This window comes from Homo sapiens, chromosome 5 (genome assembly GCF_000001405.40).
Source record: "Homo sapiens chromosome 5, GRCh38.p14 Primary Assembly".
NCBI lineage: Eukaryota > Metazoa > Chordata > Mammalia > Primates > Hominidae > Homo > Homo sapiens.
Window position 1 is genome coordinate 5,325,149 of NC_000005.10, and position 25,427 is coordinate 5,350,575.

The window sequence follows — 25,427 nt, forward strand, 5'->3', positions numbered from 1 at the left end:
GGCCTCGTGACTCTTCCAGGCCATGGAGCCAGTAAATGGCACAGCTGGGTGTTCAACTGTGACCTCGAACCTCACCCTGTGCCCCTCACCTTCCGTTCCTCTCTTTACATGGTCTGTCTTTTGTGGACACACAGTGCCCATGTCATCTCAGCCTCTGTGGCTTTGCCGGGCCACATCCATCATCTCTTGCCCAGTGCAGCCTCTCCCTGTACACCACCATTTTCCTGCCTGCACCTCCTTGACTTCCTGATGTTCTGAGAGCTCTTCAGAGGCAGGTTCCTGGCCTTGCCCACCTAGCACTCTGGAAACTTCTGGCCGCCAAGAATCTCTTTCCATCTGGAGTGACGGGGTTTGGGATTCTTCTCTTTGTTTTTTCACAATATAGTCTCCACATGTTTGGCTGGCAACAAGCTCTAGATGTGAAGTTCCTGGCTACCACAGGGTGACTTCGAAATCCAAATCTAGAGAGAGCTCCTTCACTCGCATCCCATCCTGACATGAATATCTTGAACCCTCAGCCTCAGTGGATCCACAGGTGCCCACGATTCACTCCCCTCTCCACTCAGTCGCAGGCCACCATGCTCTTACACTGCAGCTCCCCAGAAGTCGCTGTGTGGTTCCTGGGCTGCGGGGGGCTTTGTCTGGGAGGTGTTCAGTTAACCTGATTCTCACGAATTGCGGTGTGATCCTCACTGCCCTTGCCTGCCCTAGATGGGTGAAAAGGGGGCCAGGCTGGCACAGTTGCACAGCCGTCTTAGCATCTGGACAGCACCCTGGCTGATGTATAGGTGGACGCCCAGCTGCACCAGGTGGTGAGACCCAGACTTCTCCTCATCGCAGGGGGCTGCCTGTGGGGATTTTCTCCACTTGCTTCTCATTGCCTTCCAGTGCCAGGACAGAGCCCAGAGAGCCTTTGTTCTAGTCTCGCTGGACACCCCAGAAAGCCCACCAGGAGCTGCCCCACGGAACCTGAAGGGGAGAAGGGCATATCCCCATGTGCCAGGAAGCACAATGCCCTGGACTAAAGGCAGCCCCCAGAAATTCCAGGCTGAGTGAAGGAGTCCAGACAAAACAAAGCTGTGCTGGAGGAGGAGCAGGGCTGGCCCCAGCCAGACACATTCCAGCCCGCAATCAGGCTGCCTCTTTCTGTCTCCCTCCAGCTCTCCAATGCCACCCCCACCCCCACGCCCAGCTGGAAACACCTCTAGCTCCCAGCTCAGCAGCCTTAACAAAGAAAGTCAGCAGGAGACTTGGGAAAGTGAAGAAACTCTCCCCAAAACCCCAGAACGCTGCACCTTTCCTATGACAAAAACTCACGTGAAACCCCCCACACCACCGCTGCCATCCTGTCTGCATCCTGAACAGTGTGTGTGAGCCTGGACCAGGGGCTCAGCACAGGCCCTTTCTCAGCCTGGAATTCTCACTTCTGCATCGCACAGGATGGGTTCAGAGGCTCCTCGGGCCAGTTTGCCAGCAGAGTCTGCTCCCCAAGGCAGCAGGCCAGGCTGCCCGGAGGCCTCTCTGAACCCTCTTGAGCCCACCCTGTGCCCTCTCCCTGGTGTTCCACTTCTCCCAGCCCCCTTCCGAGAGCTTCAGCAATGCCAGGTGCTGTACCTGTCCCTCCCAAGGCACCCTCCTGCCCCTCCCCTCACTTATACAAGTTGTGTGCCCTGGTCCCTGTGTTTGCTTTCTCACTTCCTCCATGAGGACGGGGTCATCTGGGACATCCCGCAGAGGTGGGCCTCCTGAGACCCGCCACTAGTGCTCGTCCCCTTAATGGGAATCATGTCCAGGGTCCACAGGCAAGACCAGGCCCTTCCCTGCACAACAGCCTCTCCTCAGCTCTGCACGAGGACCACAAATCCACTCACTTGGAAGCCCCTGTGGGAAGGGAGCCGCTCACTCCCTCTTGCCATTTATTTCTCCTGCATATACCAAAAGAAAACCCGGTAGATCCACAGATCCTCTTTCCCCCATGATACATTGTTGCTCAGTTGTGTCTGGAGGGGCCATTGGCAGAGGCAGCAAGGCTCTGCTCTGGGGTAGGTAATCACAAGCTTCCCCTCACCACCTCTCACCCCAGCCCAGACACAGCGATAAGGGAGGTCGGAGCAACCAGCGCTCTGCTGGAACAGTGGCCCCAAGCTCTGCACAGGGCACACCTGCAGAGGATGCACACCGGCCTGCCGTCCCTCCCAGCCACCGGGGCTCAGGGTGCAGAGCTTAGATGGCTGGAGGCCAAAAACCATGTGGTCACATCTCATTGCATGGACAGAGGGCCGAGGGTACATCAAACGTTGTCACCAACCCCTCTCTGCTCTAGTGTCTCATTGTAGTTTAAGTAATCAGAAGTATTCTAGGGAGGGGAGAAAGGTCCCATTTCGGTGACCCCTCAAGTACCACCCACTCATCTATTGTCCCTGATTCCTGCCCTGCTCTCTCTTGGGAAACTGCTGTTGTTAAAGTTGCTGACAGCCTCCTGGTTGCCAAATCAAGGCACACTGGTCATTGCTGTCTTCCACAGCCTCTCTCAAGCATCTCCGCTGTAGACATGTCCTCTGCCATAGAGCTCACCTTCCTAGGCCTGGGGCACACCTTTCTTCTGTCTCCTGTTAGTTCTCCAAATGCTCCCAGGCACTGTGATGCGACACACCCCAGGCCAAGCTCACTATTTCCTACTCTTCAGCCCCTAAAGTTACCCCTCTTGTCTGCTGTATTCTAGGGTCACTACTCACACAGTGTCCTCAACTGGAAACTTAGGGTCATCCTTGGACTCCTCTCTTGCTCCAGCTCCACTCTATAACCCCCTCCAAATCCTTCTCTGAGTGCTGTCACTATCCAGTCTTAAAAAGTGTTCCGTTCTATTGTCTTGCCTAGATTGTTGCAATAGTCTTTTAAATGGTCTCCATTCAATTGTCTTCTCTTATTCTATCTGCCAAACTAAACCCGTCAGATCACAGTCAGCCGCTGGATGAAGGACTTGTGGGTAAAACCTGTGCTTTTCAGTGGGGTGTGCAGAGCCCCTCACTGTGGGCTGAGCTTCCTCTGCTTCCTCCTAATTGGCAATAACCTTTCACTGGAAATCTCCAGTCACCCCTAAGCCAGGACTGCGCTTTTCTCTCTAGTGCAAGTGGAAAAGTCCAGCTTATTTAAGGGTCTCCCTCTCAAACAGGGGCACCTTTGAGAGGCCTTGACCAGCCTCCCAGGTTCCTCTAGTCCCCAGCACTTGGTCATGGAGACCCCATCACAGCACCAGCCACAGCGTGTGAGGCTGGTTGGCCTCCTGCCTCTTCACCTCGGGGGGATTTCTTCAAGGGTAAGAACTTTGCTTTCAGCCAACCGTGCATGTCCTGGGATTAGCAAGGGTCTGGCATCTAGTGAGCCTCAGCAAACACTGAGTGTTAAGGTTCAAGAAAGGACTTTATACAAGAGGAAGTCAAAGAAATAGGGAAAGGTCGGCAAGAGTGGTACCAAATAAGAGGTACCAAGAAAGAGGAAAATAATAAGCAAAGGTGGGATACAGCCTCCAGGGACATCACGTGCTGGGCTCTGGCTCACCAAGGCCAGAGACCTTGTGGAAAGGGCTCCAAGAGATTTGACCGAATGGGATAAAAATGTGTTGAGAACCAGGGTGTATTCGTCCGTTTTCACACTGTCGATAAAGACAAACCCGAGACTGGGTAATTAATAAAGAAAAAGAGGTTTAATGGACTCACAGTTCCATATGGCTAGGAGGCCTCACCATCATGGTGGAAGGTGAAAGGTACATCTTATATGGCAGCAGGCAAGAGGGAATGAGAGCCAAACAAACGGGAAAACCTTTTACAAAACCATCAGATCTCATGAGACTTATTCAATACCACGAGAATAGTATGGGGAAAACCACCCCCGTGATTCAGTGGTCTCCCACTGGGTCTCCCCCATGACACATAGGAATTGTGAGAGCTACAATTCAAGATGAGATTTGGGTGGGGACACAGCCAAACCATATCACAGAGGTGCAGGTTGTCAGAGCTGAAAAGAATCTTAGAGATGCTGCAGTCCAGGCCTAAATTTATAGAGGGAGACCCTGACACCCAAGAAAGACAAGTGCCTTCCCCAGGATTTCATAGCTCAGGGGAAAGCTTTCACATTTTGCCCTTACTATCTGATGGCAAACTTTAAACCTCAGAAAGAAAAGCAACTACCATTTGGAAAGAAACAACAGCACCTCATTCGACAATGTTTTGCAATTTTTTTTGCAAGGAAATATTGTATTAAGGTTAAAATTAAAGGCTAAATATAAAAGTCCCATATTTTGACATTTAATTCAGATGCCATTTTGTGGTTGCTAGAATGGAGGAAAGCCTATTGCAGTGTAAATTAGGATGATTTTGCTCACACTAAAGAGGACATGGTCCCAGCCTGAGGCCATCTCAGTTATCTCGAGCACATCTTTTTTCTGCTCCTAAATTGTCATTGATTCCAGTGTCAAATTTATAGTTGAAAAGTAAAAATATTCAGTAGGTACTTTTAATGTACTCTTTTTATTTTTTAGAACTCAAGAGCTTCCTAATAGACTCTCATTTCCTCTGCTGAATCCTAGAACAGATTATCACCTCATTGCAAGCTCAGCTTTGCAGAATTCACCGTCTCCCCTTACCCTGTAGAAGATTCTGCTCTTTAAAAGACCATTTTCAGGAAGTCATAGGAGTTTGGAACACAGTGAAACTCTAATAGTAAATGGCAGCCATCCAACAGTGCCATAAATTCAGATGCTTGAAAATGGATTCCTCTGGGCGTGGGCAGCCTGGGACCCTGGTGAGGTCATGGAGCAGCCAGTCTGGAAAATGGTTCCACTGCTGCAAGCAGAGAGAAGGGTCTGCATTATCAGGCTGAGTAGGTGCTGGCAGATCAGCAGGTCATCGGAGGCCAGTGCCCAAATAACTCGGTTAGTTAATTTTGTGATAATGTTAGGTATCAACTTGACTGGGTTAAGGGATGCCCAGGTCCTTTTAACTCAGAGGTGTCCAATCTTTTGGCTTCCCTGGGCCTCATTGGAAGAAGAAAAATTGTCTTGGACCACACATAAAATACACTGACATTAACAATAGCTGATGAGTTTTAAAACACACACACACACACACACACACACATACACACATAGACACAATCTCATAATGTTTTAAGAAAGAATGTTTAATGTTAGCTGCATTCAAAGCCATCCTGTGTCGCATGCAGCCCGCAGGCCTCGGGTTGAACAAGCTTGCATAACCATTATTTCCAGTCGCATCTGTGAGGGTGTTTCCGGGGGAGATTAACATTTGAATTGGTAAATTGAGTAAAGATCTGCCTTCACCTATGTGGGTATGCACCATCCAATCCACTGACGGCCCAAATAGAACAAGAAGGCAGAAAAAGGGTACATCAGCTCTTTCTGCTTGAGCAGGGGCACACACTCGTCTTCTCCTGCCCTTGGACATCAGAGCTCCCCCGAGTCTGGGGCCGTTAGACCCCAGGACTTACACCAGCCCCTTCCCAAGCCCCAGAGCTCTCGGATCTTCTGCCTTGGACTAGATTACAGCACCAGTTTTCCTGGTTCTCCAGGCTGCAGAGGGAATAGAGGGGGACTTCCACAACCATGTGAGCCAATTCACATAATAAATCCCCTCTTGTATATCTGTATATCGATATTCACATCTGTCTATGTATGTAAGCATGTATCCTATCGGTTCTGTTTCACAGAAGAACTCTGACTAATGCACTCATCTTGGGTTAACTTGGTATGCTGACTTTCCAAGCTCAAGAGCCTTTCAAGAGCCTCAAGATCTCAGCCACTTACAACAATAAAGGTTCATTTCTTCAACACGTTATATCTTGGCTGCATATTGCCTGTGGGTCTGTCCTCTGCATTTTTTTCAGTCCAGAATCCAGGCTGAAGAACAGCCCCTATCCAGGACATCCTGTTGTTCTGGCAGAGGAAAAGGAGTGAAAAGCTACTGGAAATGTCAGCTGCCTCTTAATGCTTCTGCCCAGAACCAGCACCCTGTCACACACTCATGCCCCACTGGCCAGAGCAAGGCACATGGTCAAGTCCAATGTCAATGAGGCAGGGAAGTGAACTCCTACAGGCAGGTTCTGCATGGTAAATGTCAGTGGTGGGGTATGTAAGGCACTCACACAGAAAGGGAATGAATAATTCAGAACAATACCACCCACCACACCTACTATGTTCCAGGCTCCAAACTAAATGAGGCGTGACCCCTTCCCTTAAGTTTCCACAGTGTAACAGGTGGTTATATTAACTAGCTGGGTGGCCCTGGGCAATTCATTTTCGTTCTCTGGCTGTTGGATTTGTTACTTATAAAACAAAGGAATTGGATTCCTTAGGCTCCTCCAAAATTCTGAGATGCCAGCCTTTCCATTTCACTTACTATTATTAAATTAATCCGTTGCTTAAAGTCATGCACCAACCTTTAAAACAGAATCTCAACTCATGTAATATAGGAGACAGATAGGAAGTTATGCTCTGAAATAGAAGCCAGGCAAAGTGGGCTCTGGAGGATTTTTAAGGATTTTGGTGATGCCTATTCACATTTTCACAGCTACATTTACAGTCTTCCTGCTGCCGACAGAGCCAGAACCACCTGTAATAACTTCGAGAGGCCAAGTGAGCAGAGTCCAGGTCAGAATATCCAGGGCTGCCTGTCCACCTGGCAAATCCTCCTGCCAGTGGTCCTTCGCAGAAGCTTTGTCCAGGCCCACGAGCCTGCCAGACTCACCCAGGCAGCGACCTGGCTCCCCTCCACAGACCAGATGCTTGAGAAGAGTCTCGCAAATCTTCCCACTAGTGCCAGCCTCTGGGCATGGTTCTCAGTGGCAGGATTTCTTCTTCTGACTTCAGGGTTTAGATGGCTGGCCCAGGCAGCTGACTCCCAGCTGGAGGCTGAACCACAAAGCCTCTGTAGTGGGTTTGCAATCATTAAGAACTTTAATCTGCAGTCTGGAAATAGAGCCAGCAACACTCATGTGCCCCAGGGCTAAGAGTCAAGAGAGTGCCGGGCCCTGGTGGGAACCCAGGCCTGAGGAGTTCTGCAGGTGGGTGCCCTGATCGTGGGGAGAGGGCACTGCTGCCTGCTTTGCTTGCACATCTGGTCATCACCATCCTTTCTTCAGAGCCGAAGAAGGCATGCTGGTCTCCCCAGGAAAACCAGGCTCAAAACCATCAGGATAAGTGAAAGGCATGCTACATTTGTCTCCATAATCCCCCTGGAGTGCCATTTCCCCTGGTTCATTTCACCAAATAACTCTGCACCATGGTGTGCCATTAGCTTCCCATTCTCACTCAACCTGAAAACCACGCCTTCTCCTGGAGCATTGGAAGGTTACAAAGCTGTCCTCCCTGGGGGAGGCCTCCTGCAAATGCAGAAGGGCCCCTAGCTCTATTTGTCTTCTGTACTTAGTGCACCTAAATAGCCCATCACTGCACGTGGGAATCAGTGCCTGAGCGGAAACAGACCAAATATTTGTTCAGCTTTAACTCTATCCCCTCATTTTTGAATGAGTGCAATCGTTGAATGTGCTATGCTTTGTCATACGTCTGTACCCACTAAGCTTACTTCCAGACCCTTAAGTACCCAAAACCACTCCTCAGGACCACATGTCATGGGCTGAATTGTGTCCCCACAATTATGACTGTATTTGGAGATAGAGACTTTAAGGAGGTCATCAAGGTCAAATGGGGTCAACAGGGTGGGGCAAGAGAACAGGTGTCCTTATAAGAAGAGAAAGAGGCACCAGAGACCTCTCTCTTGCTCTCTGTGCACACAGAGAAATGGCCATGCGAGGGCACACTCAGAAGGTGTCACCCATGAGTCTGGAGGAAAGCCACCACCTGAAACCAACCCTGCAGGGGCCTCCAACTCGGACTTTTGGCCCCCAAAACTGTGAGAAGATAAATGTCTGTTGTTTAAGCCCCCTAGATATGTATGTCTCTATCTTTCTCTCTCTTTCTCTCAAAAAAGAATTTTCTTATTCTTTCTTCTATTTCCATTTTCAAAATGAGCCCTGTATCTTCACCGGCACCTCCATTAGCTCCTGGTGAGTTTAAATGAAGGAAGGAGAGGAGATAGGAGGAAAAAAGCTGCTGGTGCTGTTTTGATTTATTTATTTACTTTTTTGAAACGAAATCTTGCTCTGTCACCCAGGCTGGAGTGCAGTGGCGCAATCTCGGCTCACTGCAACCTCCACCTCCCGGGTTCAAGTGATTGTCCTGCCTCAGCCTCCCCAGTAGCTGGGACTACAGGTGCATGCCACCACACTTGGCTAATTTTTGTATTTTTAGTTGAGATGGCATTTCACCATGTTGGCCAAGCTCGTCTGGAACTTCTGACCTCAGGTGATCCGCTCGTCTCGGCCTCTCAAAATGCTGGGATTACAGGCATGAGCCACCGTCCCCGGCCCCGATGCTGCTTTTAGAAATTGGTGGTCACATAGGCCTTAAAGTTATAGGCACAGCCATTCAACATTGGAAGTTTCATCAAGATAGAGCAACCTGCATGGATAATTTAAAAACACAAACACACATGCACACACACGCAGGCACGCATGCATATGTACACACATACATGCACACATGCAGGCACATACACGTGCACAGTAGTTGGTTTCATTATCGTCTTCACTGAGGGTGCAGCCTGGGAAGACCCCATGACCAGTGGCATTGTGTCTTCCATTTTGAGAAACAGGAAACCACAGTAAATAAACATCAAGGATCTTCTCGGCATCAGTCCTTCCTTCTCAGGCGCCCCTCAGCAGCAGGACAGAGTTCCCAGGACTGTGGTCTGTCACTTTTCGCATCCACCACGTTTCTGTCTGTACACGGACATCAACCCCCATGGCTTCCCAGGGTATGGTGATTTTCTACAGGGTCCAGTCTCAGACATTGTTTTATGTCTCAGCCTCTACTCCATATACTCATGATTCTCCAAACTCAGGGAGGGAGTTTTGTTTCTGGACGGAGTGCAGGGTTGGGTTGCAGATCAGCAGACAACGGGGCAAAGGCTGTGTGTGGACAATGTTGCCACTTGCATTTGGTCAGCCACAGAGTTGTAAGGTCTCTGCAAGTTCTATTCTAGGGGCTGCAAGAGGCAAAACCCAGGGCCTGGGCAGTTCTCAGGGCCTGGGCAGTTCTCAGGGCCTTCGTGGAGGGCGCAGTTCCTTCCTAGACTCTGAGTAGAAGAATGACCTTGCTCCAGCATGCTGCAAACACTCATCAACCTGTTCTCTAGATTTTCGCCATGGTCACATGGTGATTTTGGAAGCTGAGCTCTCTTTGTCTATTTTAGACCCAATTGAGTCAAAGACGTAGAAAGACAGAAGCCCCCAGGCTGATTCTGCGTAGCTCGTCTCTGACGGTCCGTGGCCACCTTGTCTGCTTGGCAGCAGGGATGACTCCCGTTCTGCCTTTCCCAAGAGCTCCCTGTGCCCAGTTGACTCCCTGCTTAGTCTTCAGCCTCCAAACCCTTCCCGCACGGGCCTCTGGTTGACAATTGGCCCCTGAGACAAGCTCCCCTGGGTGTCCTGGCAGGGCCACACACTCACCATGTGCAAGTACAAGCTCAGCACGTGCCCCCAGCTCCCTCCCAGCCGCACTGGGCTCCCACAAGCCCAACACCCTTATCCATTCTTCTCACCCCCAGTCCCTCCACAGGACATCAAGGGGTCCCCAGCACATTTTCTTCCTGCCATCCACACAAGAACAACCTACCTTTCACCTTTGGTCTGAATATCCTTAGACCTGGCTGAATTTACTTTTAGAATCTCAGAAACGCACTCATTTAACCGAGGAAGTAATTTAATGAGGAAGGAGCCCCTTTTCTCAATAGAGTATCTAGTCCCAAGAAAATGAGGTCACTGGCACAGTGATGAAGGATCCGTGCTGCAAACGCACCTGGTTCTCTTATGGATGGGAGCGCGTGGTGAGATATTTTCATTTCAGCCTGAGTGCTTAGCATTTCTCCTCAGCTTACTGAAAAGAGATAGAAAAAGATGGATGGCTCAGCCTAGAAGACCAGGGCAGAGAATACTGGGGCCTCAAAGAAGAGTCTCTGTCCAGTAGCAGATGGTGTTTCATTGGCTGAGGTATCTGACACTCCAAAGCTCTCAGGCAATAAGTCTGCCAAAAATGAAAAGATGAGAAACTTCTTCCTGCCTTCCACAAACATCATAAATGGGCAAATATGTGCAGAGTAGAAAAACAAAGATTATCTTCCAAATAGGTCCCAATTTTCTTGCAACTTAGTTTGGTGAGGGTGGAGGTCAGGAATTATTGAGAAGAGAGTAAATGTGTATGTTTGAACCATATTTCCTTGTCAATGAAATAGCAAATGTAAAGATGATTAACAAATACTCAGTGTTTAATAAGGATTATTTGAAATTAAGTGGGTGGCCCAAATTATGTATTTATGCACACAAAACCATGGAAAAGGAGAAAGACCTATGCGTGGGAAGCTGGTATGCTGGATCTGGCCTCCCCTTGAAAAGTAAATAGATAAAAGACATAAAAATACTTGGAAAAGTTGAAGCTGTATAAAATGTAAGATACTGTTTTGATAGAGTCATCTATGACTCAGTCATGATTAATTACCATTTTAAAAGGATTATCTTAAGCACACATCTCAGACCTCCTTAAATCACTCCTCGGTTGCTATCTTATGACAAAGGAAAACAAAACTAATCATTGAAGATACCTTTTCTTTTCTCTTCCTCAACTATGACATCTTACAAACCAGGGTTAAATGAACAGTGAGTACGAAAGCAGCCCCTGAGTGTGCATTCTTCTTTCATGCAAAGAGTGCTTTCAAGTAAAGAAAATACCTACTCTCCCTGGAGTTTTAAGCTGCTGTGTGCCAGGAGTCCCCATCCCTGAGGTCATGCTTTGGCTTTAATCACATGAGACATTGTTTGCAGACGCTGTCAGGTCATGGCACTCAGGGACTAGTGTGCACACATTCCTCGAGCCTCAGCAGTTCTGTCCTTAACACCAGGACCACAAAGTTTGTGGTTTCTAGGGTCACAAACCCCAAGAACTTTTCATTCCAGAAACCTCTCCAGGAATCTCCTTCAGTTCCTGTTTCTCTTTGTTTTCCTGTTTTTTACCCAGGTCTATCCACCCTAAGTCACTTGAGACATTAAAACTTTCCAATGTCTGGTAACACCCTGAGGTTAGACAATGTTGTTCTCAAAATCACAAAGGCTAAAAGCACTGGAGGCTGAGTAAGTGTTTAGATAAATTCATTTCACCTAATTCATCAATAACTTTGTCTGAGTTCCTACTGGTGCTACCTAGGTTGAAGAATGAGAAGTGTATAAGCCAATCCCTGTTCTGGAGTGGCTTTCTAATTATATTGTGGAAATAAGTTTTCCAAATTTGAAGCCGCAAGCAGCTACCATAAGAGCCTGCATAAATAAGCATGGAAATTGACACGTTGATTTTAAAATCATGGTGTTGATGTTGAGTTTGGGATGAGGGTGGGAAGAGGAGCCACTTATCTGATTAGGAGGAACTCGCTGAGGTCTGGAGGCAAAAAACTCTCCAGGCTGATGTCACAACACAAGCACAAGAAGCAAAATATCAAAAGTACACGTAGGCTGTGTGAACCATGTACACCGGCTAAGTGCAGGGCCAGGATGGAGGGCAGGAGAGGGGCTGAGGAGGAAGGGTACCTTCCCACAGGAGCCATGGAGTCAAGGCTGGAACCAATTCTAAGGATGAACTGAGACTTGCCAGTCAGTGAGAGAAGACTGGACCATTCAGGAAGCCAAGACAAGTGCCATGGGCAGCACAGGGAGGAGGGACGAGGGTCCTCCTCAATGATGTGGCAAAGGACTGAAGCCGGAATGGGAAACAGGAAGAGAAACTAAGAGGTAAGTCACCAGAAGTACGGAACATAAAGAAGACCCCATGAGCCCTGGATTTACTGCCTGAGCGCCTGAGTCATGGTGCCGGGGGAAGGGGAAAGGTAGGAGCCTGAGAGACACAGGTCTTCCATCTTAGAGGCAGAGAGGCCAGGTTGGGCCAACCGTCAATCTAACTCTTTTCCTTCATGGATCCTAATTCTGACTGATTGTGTGACAGATGCTTTCTCAATAATTACTAAATGGAGCTTTTGGAATTTTTATGAAAGCTAATATAGTGTTTTTCTTTAGAAGCCAAGGTGTCCCAAAGTAGACATCACTGCAGTGGGAGCAGGATCATTCTCCACCATGAGCGAATGTTCTGGTGGCCCACTGTGGGGTGGTAGGTGCTGCATGCCTCTTCTCCAAACGGAACACTAGGCGGGCCTGCCCTCCATTAGCAAGGACAAACTAGAACAGCATGTGCATTCCCTATGCTCCCTGGGGGTGGGGGCAACACCCCAGGGGGAGCCACAGCCAGGTCATTCTGCCAGGGGAAGATGTACACACTGCCAAGATGAGCACGGCCTTCCATCTGCGCAGACGAACGTGGGAGGGGGCACGTGAATCAAATCGGTAATTATACCTCAGTGTAGAAAAATTCACTCATAGAAGCATGTAAAATACCAATTCCAGAAGCCCAATCGGCGCACAGAGGAGGCTCAGGGTGACTTCAGCATAGGAGGAGAGACTGGAGTTGAGTCTTAAATGGTAAAGGGAAGGCTGGAGCATTTCAGGAGTGGCACAATGGGCACACAGACACATTGTAAGATATGTGTGTCCTTACAGAGGACACACCTGACATTTTTCAACACTCAGCTTTTGTGTCTCCTTTAGATCATTTTGAACATGACAGCTAAAAACAACCAAACTTATAGGAGATACTGTCCAGTGAAAAACACAACAAATGACTCTAAGGAAACTCTGAGGTTAGAAAAAAAGTCAGTCAGATAATAGATTTCATTTTTTATTTGCTATCATAGTTCATCCAAGACAATTCAATGGGAAAGAATAGCTTTTCCAAAAAATGGTGCTGGTGCAACTTGATATCCACATGGAGAAGAATAAAGTTGGACTCCCACCTCTCCCTGTCTTCAAAATCAACCCAAAATGGAACAGACACCTCCATGTACAAGCCGAAATTGTAAACCTCTTCTATAAATCTGTGTGACACTGAATTTGGTAACAGTTTTCTTATTATAATACAGAAGGCGTAAGCAACAAAAGAAAAAAAATAAATTGGACTTCATGAGAAGTATAAACTTTTTTTTTTTTTGAGACGGAGTTTTGCTCTTGTTTCCCAGGCTGGAGTGCAATGGTGCAATCTCGGCTCACTGCAACCTCTGCTTCCTAGGTTCAAGCGATTCTCCTTCCTCATCCTCCCAAGTAGCTGGGATTACAGGCGCATGCCACCATGCCTGGCTAATTTTGTGTTTTTATTAGAGATGGGGTTTCTTCATGTTGGTCAGGCTGGTCTCAAACTCCCGACCTCAGGTGATCCCATGCTGGGATTACAGGTGTGAGCCACGGTGCCTGACTAAGAAGTATAAACCTTTATGCATCAAAGGACATCATCAAGAAAGTGAAAAGACAACCTGTAGAATGGGGAAAACATTTTCAAATGAATTATCTGAGAAGGGTCAGCTGCAGTCTGAATGTTGGTGTCTCCCCACAATTTATATACCGGGATCTTATACCCAATGTGATAGAATTAGGAGGTGGGGCCTCTGTGAAGTGATTAAGGCATGAGGGCTCCACTCTTGTGAATGGCATTAGTGCCCTCATGACAAAGGCTCAAGTGAGATTCCTTGCCCCTTCGGCCATGTGAGGATGTGGTGATGAAGCACCATCTTTGAAGCAGAGCAGCCCTCACCAGACAGAGAATCTGCTATTCCCTTGATCTTAGATTTCCCAGCCTTTGGAACTGTGAGCAATGCATTTCTGTTGTTTATAACTTACCCAGTCTAAGGTATTTTGTTATAGCAGCCAGAAAGGACCAAAACAGGCTCTACTATCCAAAACATATAAACGCTCATACAACTCAACAATAAAAAGGAAAGTAACCCAACTAAAAAATAGTCAAAGAAATTAACTGGATATTTATCCAAAGAAGATATACAAATGGCCAACAAGAACAAAAAAAGGTGCTACGTATTATTAGTCATTAGAGAAATGCAAAACAACGGAGGGATAGTGCCTCACATCCACTAATGCAGCGATATATTTTTTTAAGTTAAATACCAAGTGCGGATGCGAATGTGGAGAAATTACCCTAAAACCTTGCTCTCAGGAATGTGAAATGTTGCAGCCTGGAACAGCTTGGCAGTTCCTCAAAAAGTTAAGCATAGAATTCCCATATGCATAGCAATTCCACTCTCAGGTGTAACCCCAAGAAAAGTGAAAGCATATTCAGTGAAAAACTTAAACATGAATATTCATAACAGCATTATTCATAGTAGCCACAGCCAAACTTGAGGGTGAGCAACACACTAGACTTTGGAAGAGTACATTTTAATTCTCTCTCTTCATGGAACAGTCTATTAGGAGCCTAATAATTGTCATCATTTTCTAAGAAGTCAAGGAAGAATCCATTTCATTGGGCAGAGAAATCCCTGTGCCTGGGGCCAGCCTGGAACCACATGCCTTTGCCACGGCCTCTCCTGGCCATACTCTCAAATCTGCATCAGGTAAGCGGGGGCCTGGAGATGTTGGAATGCACCCCCACCCGCCATTCAATGTTTCCAACAGCCGTGGTTGGTAGCAGAACAAACTGTGGCACAGCCAGGGTCTGTGCACCTACACTCCCTCCTGGATTTGGCAAACCTGGGACCTGGAAGAAGCAGGTTTGAAGTTTCCTTGACTTTTCTCAGGACATTTCTATAAGCCCCTCCCAGAGTGAAGTTTAGAACACGTAGGCTAACCTATTACCACTTATGTTTCTTTTCTTCTCAAAGATATTAAACTATTTCTGGGGCAGGGACCCTTTTTGTTTTGATTACTGTGTTTCATGATAAATCCCAAATTGTTCACATTGAGTCCAATTGTATGGAACAATTTTCATTTTGCCTCTTCCATTTGTGTTCATACAATTAGTGGTAAAATTGCCCAAACTTGGCAGCTTCATCTCGGTACCTCCCTATCCCCTAGAAGGATTTGAGGCCAGAATAGAACTGCGTGTGTCTCCAGAGAGCCAAATGCTTGGCTGAGAAAGCCAGGGGGATTGAGCAACATCTCAAAGGCAAATCACCGAGGAAAGCAATCGACCTACCGATCCGCTCAGGAAAAGTCACTGCAAGGAGACTGTAATTGGCAGTGGGGGATACCAGGAAAGATGATCCTAAACATTAGCACACTTTCCCAGACCTCCTACGCTCTTGCCACATGCAGCGTCCCCAGGCCCCCGCTGGCTCCCTCGTGTGTGTGGAATTCTCTGTGCATTTGTTTCCTCTCGGCATTACTCATCCCACGATGGATGACTCAGCTTTCACAGGCCTGAGACTCCCTCCCATCCCCAGAGGGCTCACAGATCACCCTCTCCAGTCTTCCTTTCTTAATGGATTCTGATTGATTTATCTCTAAGTATCTGGAAAATCAATTGCAGATGGAACTCTATAGCATTGCCGCTCTTCGCAGCTGCCTCCCGTGTCTTTCCTACAGCCTGGCTGGGGTTTTCCCAGGCCCAGATGTCCCTAAGTGGTCCAGGATTGCACTCATGGAAACAGGGCTCTCGATCAATTTGCAACACCCAACGTAGGACCCTTAAACTTGATTGAGGAGTTTATTTGGAGGAGTGCTAGCCATTCATCAGAACTGAAGATCGAATATGAAATCACAGAACAACATTATGAATTAACCAGCCAGTCATTGAGTGATCCTGAGTATCTCTGCCATGAACAGAAAGGTAGACCCTCCAGACACCCCCAATATAGGCATTAAAATAGAGGAGCCAACCACAGTCATGGAAACACGTTCATAGAATGTGATTTTTCTTGGGGACGGGTGCTGGGGGGGAGAAAATGTTAACTGTTTCCTTGCTTTCTGTATTCTTGACTCTGTGGTGTGTGTGGCCTCCCTGATGGGAGAGCCTGATCTTTCCAGAACTACTCAGCATCTAGAGCCAGCGACGGGCTTACCCTGGAGTGTGCAAGCCAACCATCCCAAATCCATACCCCAAACCACGCCCTTTATCTAACTCTTACTCACCAAGCCAGTATATCCCCCATCCTAAATCGCCCCAAAGCCAGGTACCAGGCAACCAGAGACCACCGCCGGAGCCCAGAGCCTGCTGACACTATTGTAACCGTCCAGTGCCAAGCCCTTCCCATCAGGCCTTGCCTTTCCCACAGAAAACACAAGCTGCAGCCCAGTCTCTGCACTCACTCCTCCGCCTTTCTTCCTCTTGCCAGACATGGGTGCTTCCCCATGCGGCCCCACTTGGCATGGTGTGACCTCTCCACTCGGAAAACATGAAGAATAAATATCGACTTTCAGTGGCACTCTCCGTGCCATCATTCAGTCATCCTCATGAATTGCAGTCCCAGGGGAGGACCCTGTCACGTCCCTGCTTATTGACCCTCCTTGTCTGCATTTGTCGGCTGTGACCAAGCCCTAGACACAGAATCCGCACCCGAGGCTGTGGCTGCAGTGGGCAGTGGGGGAAGGCATGCTTGTCTTAGGCTGAGACCCTGGCTGAGCTCCCTCTGTGACCACCTCACTGAGTTACGTGTCCTCTAAGCCCCTGGAGAGTGCTGGAATGCCTGAACTGTGCCATATACACCATCCAGCCTCCAGGATACCCCAAGAAATGTTCTTTAAATACATCCCCCAACATCTTATCTACAAATGGCTTGTAGATGCCTTCCTAAGACATAATTGGTACACTACAAAATTCACCCTTTTAACCTGTACAATTCGGTATTTTTAAAATATTTATATGTACAAAGTTTTGCAATCCTCACCACTATCTAATTCCAGAACATTTTCATCATCCCAAAAGAAACTCCATACTATTAGCAGCCAGAGCCTCGGCCCCTGGTAACCACTGATTCATTTTCTGTCTTAATGATTTAGCCCCAGGCATTTCACATCAGTGGAATCATATGCTACATGGCCATTGTATTTGACTTTTGTACTTGACATAAAAAAAGGATAAACCTATTCATTGCAGATAGTGGAGGTCCCACATTTTGTTAACTCTTTCATCTGTTAATTCTTTCATCCCCCGATGCTGCTGTAAACAATGTGTGTACAAGTGTCTGTGTGAACACGCTTTCATTTCTCCTGGATTTATACTAGGAGTGGGATGGCTGGGTTGTATGGAAACTCTGTGTTTAATATTTTCATGAGCTGCCATACGGGCTTCCCAAGCAGCTACACCATTGTGTCCACCAGCAGGGCACGAGGGTTCCATTCTCTCCACATCTTGTTATCCACCATCTTTTTCACTGTAGCCATCCTAGAGGGCCAGAAGTGCTATCTCACAGCGGCTTTGATGTGCATTTTCCTAATTACTAATGACATTGAGTGTCTTTGCACATGTTAATGAGACATTTATATATTTTATTTGAATAAATGTCTATGCATGTCCTTTGCTAATTTTTAATTTGGGTCATTTGTGTTTTAATTGTTGAGTTGCAAGAGTTCTTTACATACTGTGGATATGAGTCCCTTATCAGATATATGATCTGTGTTTATTTTCTCCCATTCTGTGGGTGGGTTTTTTTTTTTTTTTTCACTTTCTTGATAGTGTCCTTTGAAGACAAAAGTTAATTTTGGTGAAGTCTAATATATCTATTTTTTTTCTTTGTTGGTTTTGCTTTTGGTGTCATGTCTAAGAAATGATTGCCTCATCCAAGGTCATGAAGATTTATGCCTGGTTGCTTCTCAGAGTTTAATCTCCCTTTGCTTTTGATGACTCCAGTGATGATCTACACTCTTCTAGGAGGATAAGGAGGAAAAATATTACAGAAAAATGAGTCATTCCAATGCACTCCTTTTTTAGTAATCCCAAGAGATTAATGGCTGACATCATAGAGAAGACCAACACTTAAGACTACATGGAAATTATTAAATTGTATATTTTGGGAAGACTCCCTCTCCTTCTTTCTTTCTTTACATGCCACGAGTGGCCTTCAGGTTTGCCTTCTGTGCAAGTGAATTAAATGAGCTTGTTATTGGCACTGGGTAGTGGAGGCTGCAAGCCTTTGGAGACCTTCCCATTCCTGTCTCCTTCCATCCACTCTCCTGAAGTTGAATTTCTGTTCCTTTTTTTTTTCTTTTTTCTTTTTTTTTTTTTTTTTTTGAGACAGGGTCTCATTCCTTCACCCAGACTAGAGTGCGGGAGTGAAGTGGCTAGGTCATGGCTCACTGTAACCTCGACTTCCTGGGCTCAGGTAATTCTCCCACCTCAGCCTCTTGAGTCACTAGAATTATGGGTGCATGCTACCACACTCAGCTAACTTTTGTGCGTGTGTGTATTTTTAGTAGAGATGGGGTTTCACCATGTTGCCCAGGCTGGCCTCGAACTCCTGGGCTCAAGCGATCCACCTGACTTGGCCTCCCAGAGTGTTGGTATTACAGGCATGAGCCACTGCACCCGGCCCCCTCTCTGTCCTTTTACAGCTGCACTGCCTGCTGCTGCTATGGACTGTCACAAGACCCCAGGGGCCAGCACTTTTCAAGAGTGTAGCCATGTGTGACATGCAGTGGCTGCCTTCTCAGGGCCAAACCAGATTAAGAAGGCCATCGTTGTGTTCCACGTTACACAACAGACTTGAAATCAATGAAAAGGACTCTTGTTGAGTCTTACTTCAACAAAACTCTACCTAAAAATCATTCCACACCCACATCTCAGCTCCTCGGGGCTCTTCCTTTCTAGATTGTGCTGCACAAATCTGAAAAATCTAAGTTTTTATCATCACTGCAGAACAAGGGACCTTCCAGCTTTGGTTCAGCCCTGATGCAGATGGAAACATTTTCCAGCCACCTGAATGTGATGCATTAGGACATTCTAGGCCTTCGTCATGGATGTGATGCATGCTTCCCTCTCTCCCAGACACCAAGATGCGTCCCACAAAGGGGACTCCCAGCCTCCACAGAGGTGCAGCTGGAGCTCTTCCCTCCTCTCCAGTCTGCAGTTCCCTGAGCACAGCACTCCCTGGCTGCAGTCCTACCCCCAGTCCAGGCCTCTGGGGCTCAAAACTGTTGCTTACACATTCAGGAAATTAAGAAAAAATAAAATAAAAACTCATTCAACCCACACTTCCTGCCCTGGAAAAATCCGACTATTGTTCTTTCTAGGCAACGTCCTTAAAGCCCCACATTTTCCCAGATTTTATCACATCTGCCCCTGGAGGCTGGAGCTTCTCATTAATATACAGTATTCCTGGAGTGTGTTTGGTTTGGTTTTCTGCTGCCAAGCCTGGGGGAGTTGGCAGTTCAAGCCAGCTCCTGACATTTAATCACACTTTGCATTTTACCCATCCACTCTCCCTACCCCTTTTACTAGCTCACTTTTAATGAGAAAGAAGAAACTAATTTTAAACACGCACACATCACAGTAGTAACACTGTCTCCGATTCATTCATCCATCAGCTCAGAAATTATAATTATAATGCATATTAATTTGCAAATGCTACATAATTTGATTTGTGTATTTAATGCCAAAAGATTAGACATTTCTCATCTTACGCTGTTCCTTCCAGCAGCAATTCATTCTCTATCCAAGGTGCTGCTCTATGGCTGACGCGGGCTCTACTGGTCAGATTTGAGGTAACACAATGATAAACCACTTCCTGCAAGCTGATGTACATCCAGATTCTCTACACTTTAACCAAAATTATGACCAAAATCAATTAAGTGATTTAAAAGTAAAATGTACTGGGTGAGCTTTGTGTAGGGAAGACAGTACTCAAGCAATCTACTCTGAATATTCAAGTAGAAACTGGCAAAAAGTCTCTAAAATACCTGAAGTCAAAGTGTCCCCAGCCTTTCTGGAAATTACAGGACTAAGATAATTTATCATGCAAGGATTCTTTCTCTAGATTGGACAATAATCTTTACTTTGATTTTATATTTAAGGCATATAAGTTATGAGAGGAATGTGCAGCTACTAATAATGTGTATTAATAACAAAACTCTAACTATAAGCCAGGAAAAATACTAAATATTTACAACCAGGACTTCAAAATTTATAAAATAGTATTAACATTTTTATTTATAGAACAATCAAACTAAGTCAAAAAAATATTTTAAGTAACTGGCCTAAGGTCACATGGACAGTCAGTGGAAGATCAAAGCACAGGCAGTTTCACTGACTCTGAAGCCAAGTTCTCAATCCCCAGAGCTGGTCTTCAAGTCCTATGTCATTTTGACAACTGGCATGACCATCTGTAAATTTGCAGTTTACAGCCTGAATTTCCCCACTTCAATGGAAACTCTACAAAGGAAGGTAACTTCACCATTTTGTTCAATGTTGTACATTCAGCCCCTAGAACAGAACTGGAGTCTTGGTAATGACAATAAATCTTGATTGAATAAAGGAATGAATCCAAAAGGTGTCATGAGGTCACACCACCATCATGTGGTCATTTATGCAAGGATAACTGCAAATGCAAAAAAGATTCAGAAGCCTCTCTGGACTGAATGTAAAATGGTTTATGCTCAGGCCGGGCGTGGTGGCTCACGCCTGTAATCCCAGCACTTTGGGAGGCTGAGGAGGGTGAATCACAAGGTCAGGAGTTCGAGATCAGCCTGGCCAATATGGTGAAACCCTGTCTCTACTAAAAAATACAAAAATTAGCCTGGTGTGGTGGCATGCATCTGTAGTTCCAAGTACTCGGGGGGCTGAGGCAGGAGAATTCTGGAACCCAGGAGATGGAGGTTGCAGAGAGCCGAGATCATACCACCGCACTCCAGCCTGGGGGACAGAACGAGACTCTGTCCCAAAAAAAAAAAAATGGTTTATGCTCAAATTGTGCAATACTAAGGAAGGATGTTAAATAAATGCCACACTTGTTTCTTTTATTATTAGCGTATACATTTTAGTCTCTTCTCCCTAACATCTCCACCACAATAATCCCCTCAGTCAAAGCTGTTGTTGATTTGATAGTGAGCTTCACAGCTGAGCATCTTATACTCACAGAAATAGTCTGGTCATATGGGCTCCCTGGTTCTGATGCTGATTCTTGATGGTTCCCGCAATAGACAGTCTCTCTTGAATCTCAGGGTTCTCCTGGCAACCCCTAACACTTGCTGTGGCTTTCCTTGTGTCCACTTGTCCCTGGTTGTCGAATTGTCTAGGGGGCAGCTGTATTTTGGTGTCTGCTCCAGCCCAGGGGTGCCATCCTTGCCCATCTACCATCACAGGCCGTTGCACCTGCAGACTTGCATACACTACCACTGCATCCAATCTGGCCACAGCCTGATGTTCCAGGAAATACCTTCTTAGCAGCAGAGAGGGGGGACTAGAAATTCTGGATAAGCAAGTGGTGCCTTTTTCATAATAAGTTCAAAAAGAAATATTGCAAAAGAAAAAAACTCAGAAGTCAGTCTTTTCACTTGTGTTCAAAATCCTCCTCCAGCCCTCAATTCTTTCAAAAGAAAAATTAGGATCCCAGATGCTCCCCAAAATCTCTTCCAGTTTTAAAAACTCTTCATTTAATCAAGTTTTATCTCCATTTTGGATTACTCCATAAAAACGTTGAGTTTCTTAAAATAAACACAAATGCATTTTGTACCAAATCAAACAAAATTAAACTTAAGAATGTCTTTAAGCTTACCTATCTCACATCAAGCTAATCATCATCTAACAGTCACCAAACACTAGCAAACAATGGATTGTGCCACCACTGAGGATTCTAGAGATGCAGTTTATATATGTTTTGGCTACACTTATTCTTGCTCTCAGGTTTCCTTAAGAGAAAAACCATCATTTTGATGTGAACAGACATTGCCAAAGAAGGGTTTCACTCTCAGTCACCAGTAGGGTACAAATAAAATTATAAATCCACACAACAGGCAGGGTGGGGAAGCTGAAGAGACCCGGGCAAATTAGAGTGTGCATACTTCAGTGAAAAATGTTCAATCACATTATCTAAAAAGTAAAAGCTGTGTAGGCCAAAAGTAGATTATCTGTTGCTACTCACTGAATGTTTGTGTCCCTCTGAAATTCACATGTTCAAACCTTGTGAATTTATTATGGATGGTTATTAGGAGGTGGGACCTTGGACAAATGACAGGTCATGAGGGTGGATCTGTCATGAGTAGGATTATAGCCCTTATAATAGAGACTCCAGAGAGCTCTCTCACCTTTTTCACCATGTGAAGACGCAAATCCCAGAAACAGGACCTCATCATGCCCTGAATGTGCTAATGCCTTGATCTTGGACTTCCCAGCCCCCAGAAATGTGAAAAATAAATGGTTGTTGTTTAAGTCACCCAGCTTGTGGTATTCCGTTATAGCAGCCCCAACAGACTAGGACATCTGCACAGGAGATACGTGACACTGGGAGAGAAGCTGGAACTGATGCCACATCATGAAACCAACGTTGCTGTCACCTGGACCTCAGACTTCCGGCCTCCAGAACCGGGAGGGGATACATTGATCTCGTTTAGGCCATCTGGTTTCCGGTGCTTCATTAGAGAGGCACTAAGGAACTAACACACACACACACAAACACACAGTATGCACACAAACACACACACAAACACACACACATAAACATACACACATAATATGCCAAAAGGTTTTAAGAGCTATGGAGAAACATGATAAACAGCGAGGGCAGTGGGACTCTGGGAGCGGGGATAAGGGAGGGAGGGACATCGCTGCTTCATGGGAAAGCCTCACTATACTCAGGGCATCTGAGAGCTCAGAGAAGGAGGACAAGGCCAGGCAAGTGCCGGGGGAAAAGCACACTGGTCAGAGGGAACCGCAAGGCCGAGTCCCCACAGCAGGACGTGGCTCGGGAGGTGGAAGGGGCCTCTAGGAGCTCAGGGAGGTAGGGTGGGGGCCCGAGTGACAGGGCAGGGCGCCCTGGGATGTGAGGTCTCCTGGACCACTGTGTTCTCCTATGTCTGCTGAGCTGCAGGCAGGAGGCAGGCGCAGGGGGCGGGGAAGGAGGACTGTGACTTGTAAGACCCTCTGGCTGCGGTGAGGAGGAAGTGATGAGGAGGAAGGAAGGGTGGAGGCTTTGAGGCCGACTGAGAGGCAGTCACGAAGATGCTGGTGGGAGACAGCAGCTCCAGAGTGGAAGGCATGGGAAAGAGGCCGAGCCCGGATGCCTCCTGCAGGTGGGGACAAGGAGCCTTGCTGATGGACAGGATGTGGGCGTGAGCAGAGTGGAGCCAAGGATGGTGTCAAGGTTTGGGGCCGACACATCTAGGCAGATGGGCCTGGGCTCCCTGCAGTGATGGAGCAGGGATGAAAGGCAGAACTTATCGGCTCAAAACACAGCACGGCAGCCAGGCAGCACATGTTTTGCAGAATTTTTGAAGAATACTAAGGTTTCATTTGCATTCTTATTTGGCCAAACATTTTCCACCTTAAACTGTCCATTGTTGAAAGTTAAACACCTCCTCTGTAATGCCAGACAGAAGGGTTTTAAGTAATAGGTGCCTCAGCTTCTACCAAACTGTCTTCATTCCTGAGCCACCTCCACCACCTGTTCCAAGACACTGGACAATTCTCCCTGGCTTGAGTGGAATGGATTGTCAGTGACAGGCAATCAGCTAGGAACATAACATTTTTCTTCTCCAAGCTGCAACCCAGCCAATCTTTTTTAGGACAACTGAAGCAACAATTAGGCATCCAAAAATCTAAATTAAAATCCAGCTGTGTGAGTTGCTGCCAGTGCTACTGAGGTGACAAATGGATGGATAGAAGTACTCCCTTTGTGTGCACATGCGTATACACATACAAATAAAAATAACACAGAGAAAATGAAGCCAGGAGAACTGTGCTGACCTGGTGTAAAGCAGTAGACCTGGTGAAGTGCAATTTACTTTATTTAAAGTTGAAATAGAACTATTATGTTTGAGAAGAACCAGTGTTCTGTGAAGGACTCTTTAGAAGAAGAGCTCATAGAATCCACCTCTATTTTATAGGCTGAACAGCTGAGAGCTGAAGAGTTTCAAGGACTTTCAAGGTCACGTCATGGAGAATGGCAAAACAGGACCAGGGCTCCTTACAGCCCTACCTCTCTGTCCGTTACTCGAGAAGCAACTCACAACTTCCTCCCTACGTGCTCTGCCTGTTCCTAATGTAAGACTCTCAGGAACTTCAAATTCCTTGTTTTCCATAGCCTGCAAGCCATCCAAATACCTAGCCAAGAACCGAATACGAGAAGAAACACTGACAATGGCGAGAGAGGCTGCAGCAAGGCCACCTCTGATGGCCGACCCCCTACTTTGTGGCCCCGTTGTCCATGGAGACCCACAGGTGCTCCACAGGCCATCCCTGGGTGGGTTTGCATGAGATGTCATCCCTTTAGAGGGAAAGCTAGAGAACCTGGATTGAGGGACATTTAGAAGGAAAGGAATGTGGAGGGCAGTTCTAGTATAAGCCTGAAGTTGAAAGAGCGAAAACACCTCACAGGAAGCTGTGGAGTGGGCTAGTACAGGGAGCTCCTCCTGGGGTCCAAGGCACGTTGAGCTGGGTGAACTCTGGGGCTTGGGGGTCAGAGGAGCAGAGGAGCAGCAAGGTGACGTGGAGGAGGAATGCTGTGGGGCTGTTGGACGCCAGCACATCCACGAGGGAGAGGTCCTCTGGCATCTCATAGGAAGAGTTACTTTTTCCCCAGCTTCTCTTTGCGGTTGCCCCGGGACCGTCCAGGGGGGACACTGCCCGTTTCGCTGTGCCCGGGCAGCCTGTATTGTCTTCATGGTAGGTTGTTTTCTTTTCTATTTGCACCCATGCTTTGAATCCCAGATCTTGTAAACCTTCTCAGGCACTGAGTTCTAAGATCCTAGAGACAAGCTGCAGCACTTGTCAAGAAGAGTGAAAAATGGACGTACCAGGATGACATGGAATTTCTAAATCAGCACTAAATACCCATCTGGGCTATAAACGTCTCAGGTCTCTTTCGTGCTGCAGAGTAATGTAAACAGTATTTGTGTGCCTGTCTGACCACTCCTCGGTTCCCCCGATTTCAGGCTGTCAAGTCATGCTTGGGGGTGGGGGAGTGGGGACCACGGAGCAAGGGTGTGGCTTAGTCACCGTCCTTCCCCCAGTCCACAGCAAACATTCATTGTGTCCCAATGAGTCACCCCTTACTGGAGCCCACGGGGGCTCTTTCACTCTGGCCGGTGAGCTCCTCTCTTCCCAGGGGGTTCAAGGGCCAAAGAAAAAAATGTTGTTTGCAAGTACACGAGGATCCAAAAGTAAAACTGTTACTTCATTCATCACTGTGAGGACACTGGACTCCTAGGTCTTCTGCAGGGTCTAAGATCAGTGACAAGACTAAGACATCTTTGCACAGAACTTTGTCAGA

General features: G+C 46.9%; 1 long non-coding RNA gene across 2 annotated transcripts in view, besides 3 other annotated features; it reads right to left on the reverse strand.

Moving 5' to 3' along the window:
* Positions 1–25,427, reverse strand: part of LOC101929200 (uncharacterized) — a 163,580-nt gene that overhangs the window by 66,599 nt on the left and 71,554 nt on the right. The gene's annotated exons all lie outside the window — the stretch shown is intronic.
* Positions 441–1,408: an enhancer, noted in NCBI's record as "H3K27ac-H3K4me1 hESC enhancer chr5:5325702-5326669 (GRCh37/hg19 assembly coordinates)". NCBI's record gives its function as "activates a minimal SCP1, AML or CMV promoter by ChIP-STARR-seq in naive H9 embryonic stem cells {active_cell/tissue: H9 hESC(naive)}" and the evidence as "EXISTENCE:reporter gene assay evidence [ECO:0000049][PMID:30033119]".
* Positions 15,830–16,331: an enhancer, noted in NCBI's record as "H3K27ac hESC enhancer chr5:5341091-5341592 (GRCh37/hg19 assembly coordinates)". NCBI's record gives its function as "activates a minimal SCP1, AML or CMV promoter by ChIP-STARR-seq in naive H9 embryonic stem cells {active_cell/tissue: H9 hESC(naive)}" and the evidence as "EXISTENCE:reporter gene assay evidence [ECO:0000049][PMID:30033119]".
* Positions 16,332–16,831: an enhancer, noted in NCBI's record as "H3K27ac hESC enhancer chr5:5341593-5342092 (GRCh37/hg19 assembly coordinates)". NCBI's record gives its function as "activates a minimal SCP1, AML or CMV promoter by ChIP-STARR-seq in naive H9 embryonic stem cells {active_cell/tissue: H9 hESC(naive)}" and the evidence as "EXISTENCE:reporter gene assay evidence [ECO:0000049][PMID:30033119]".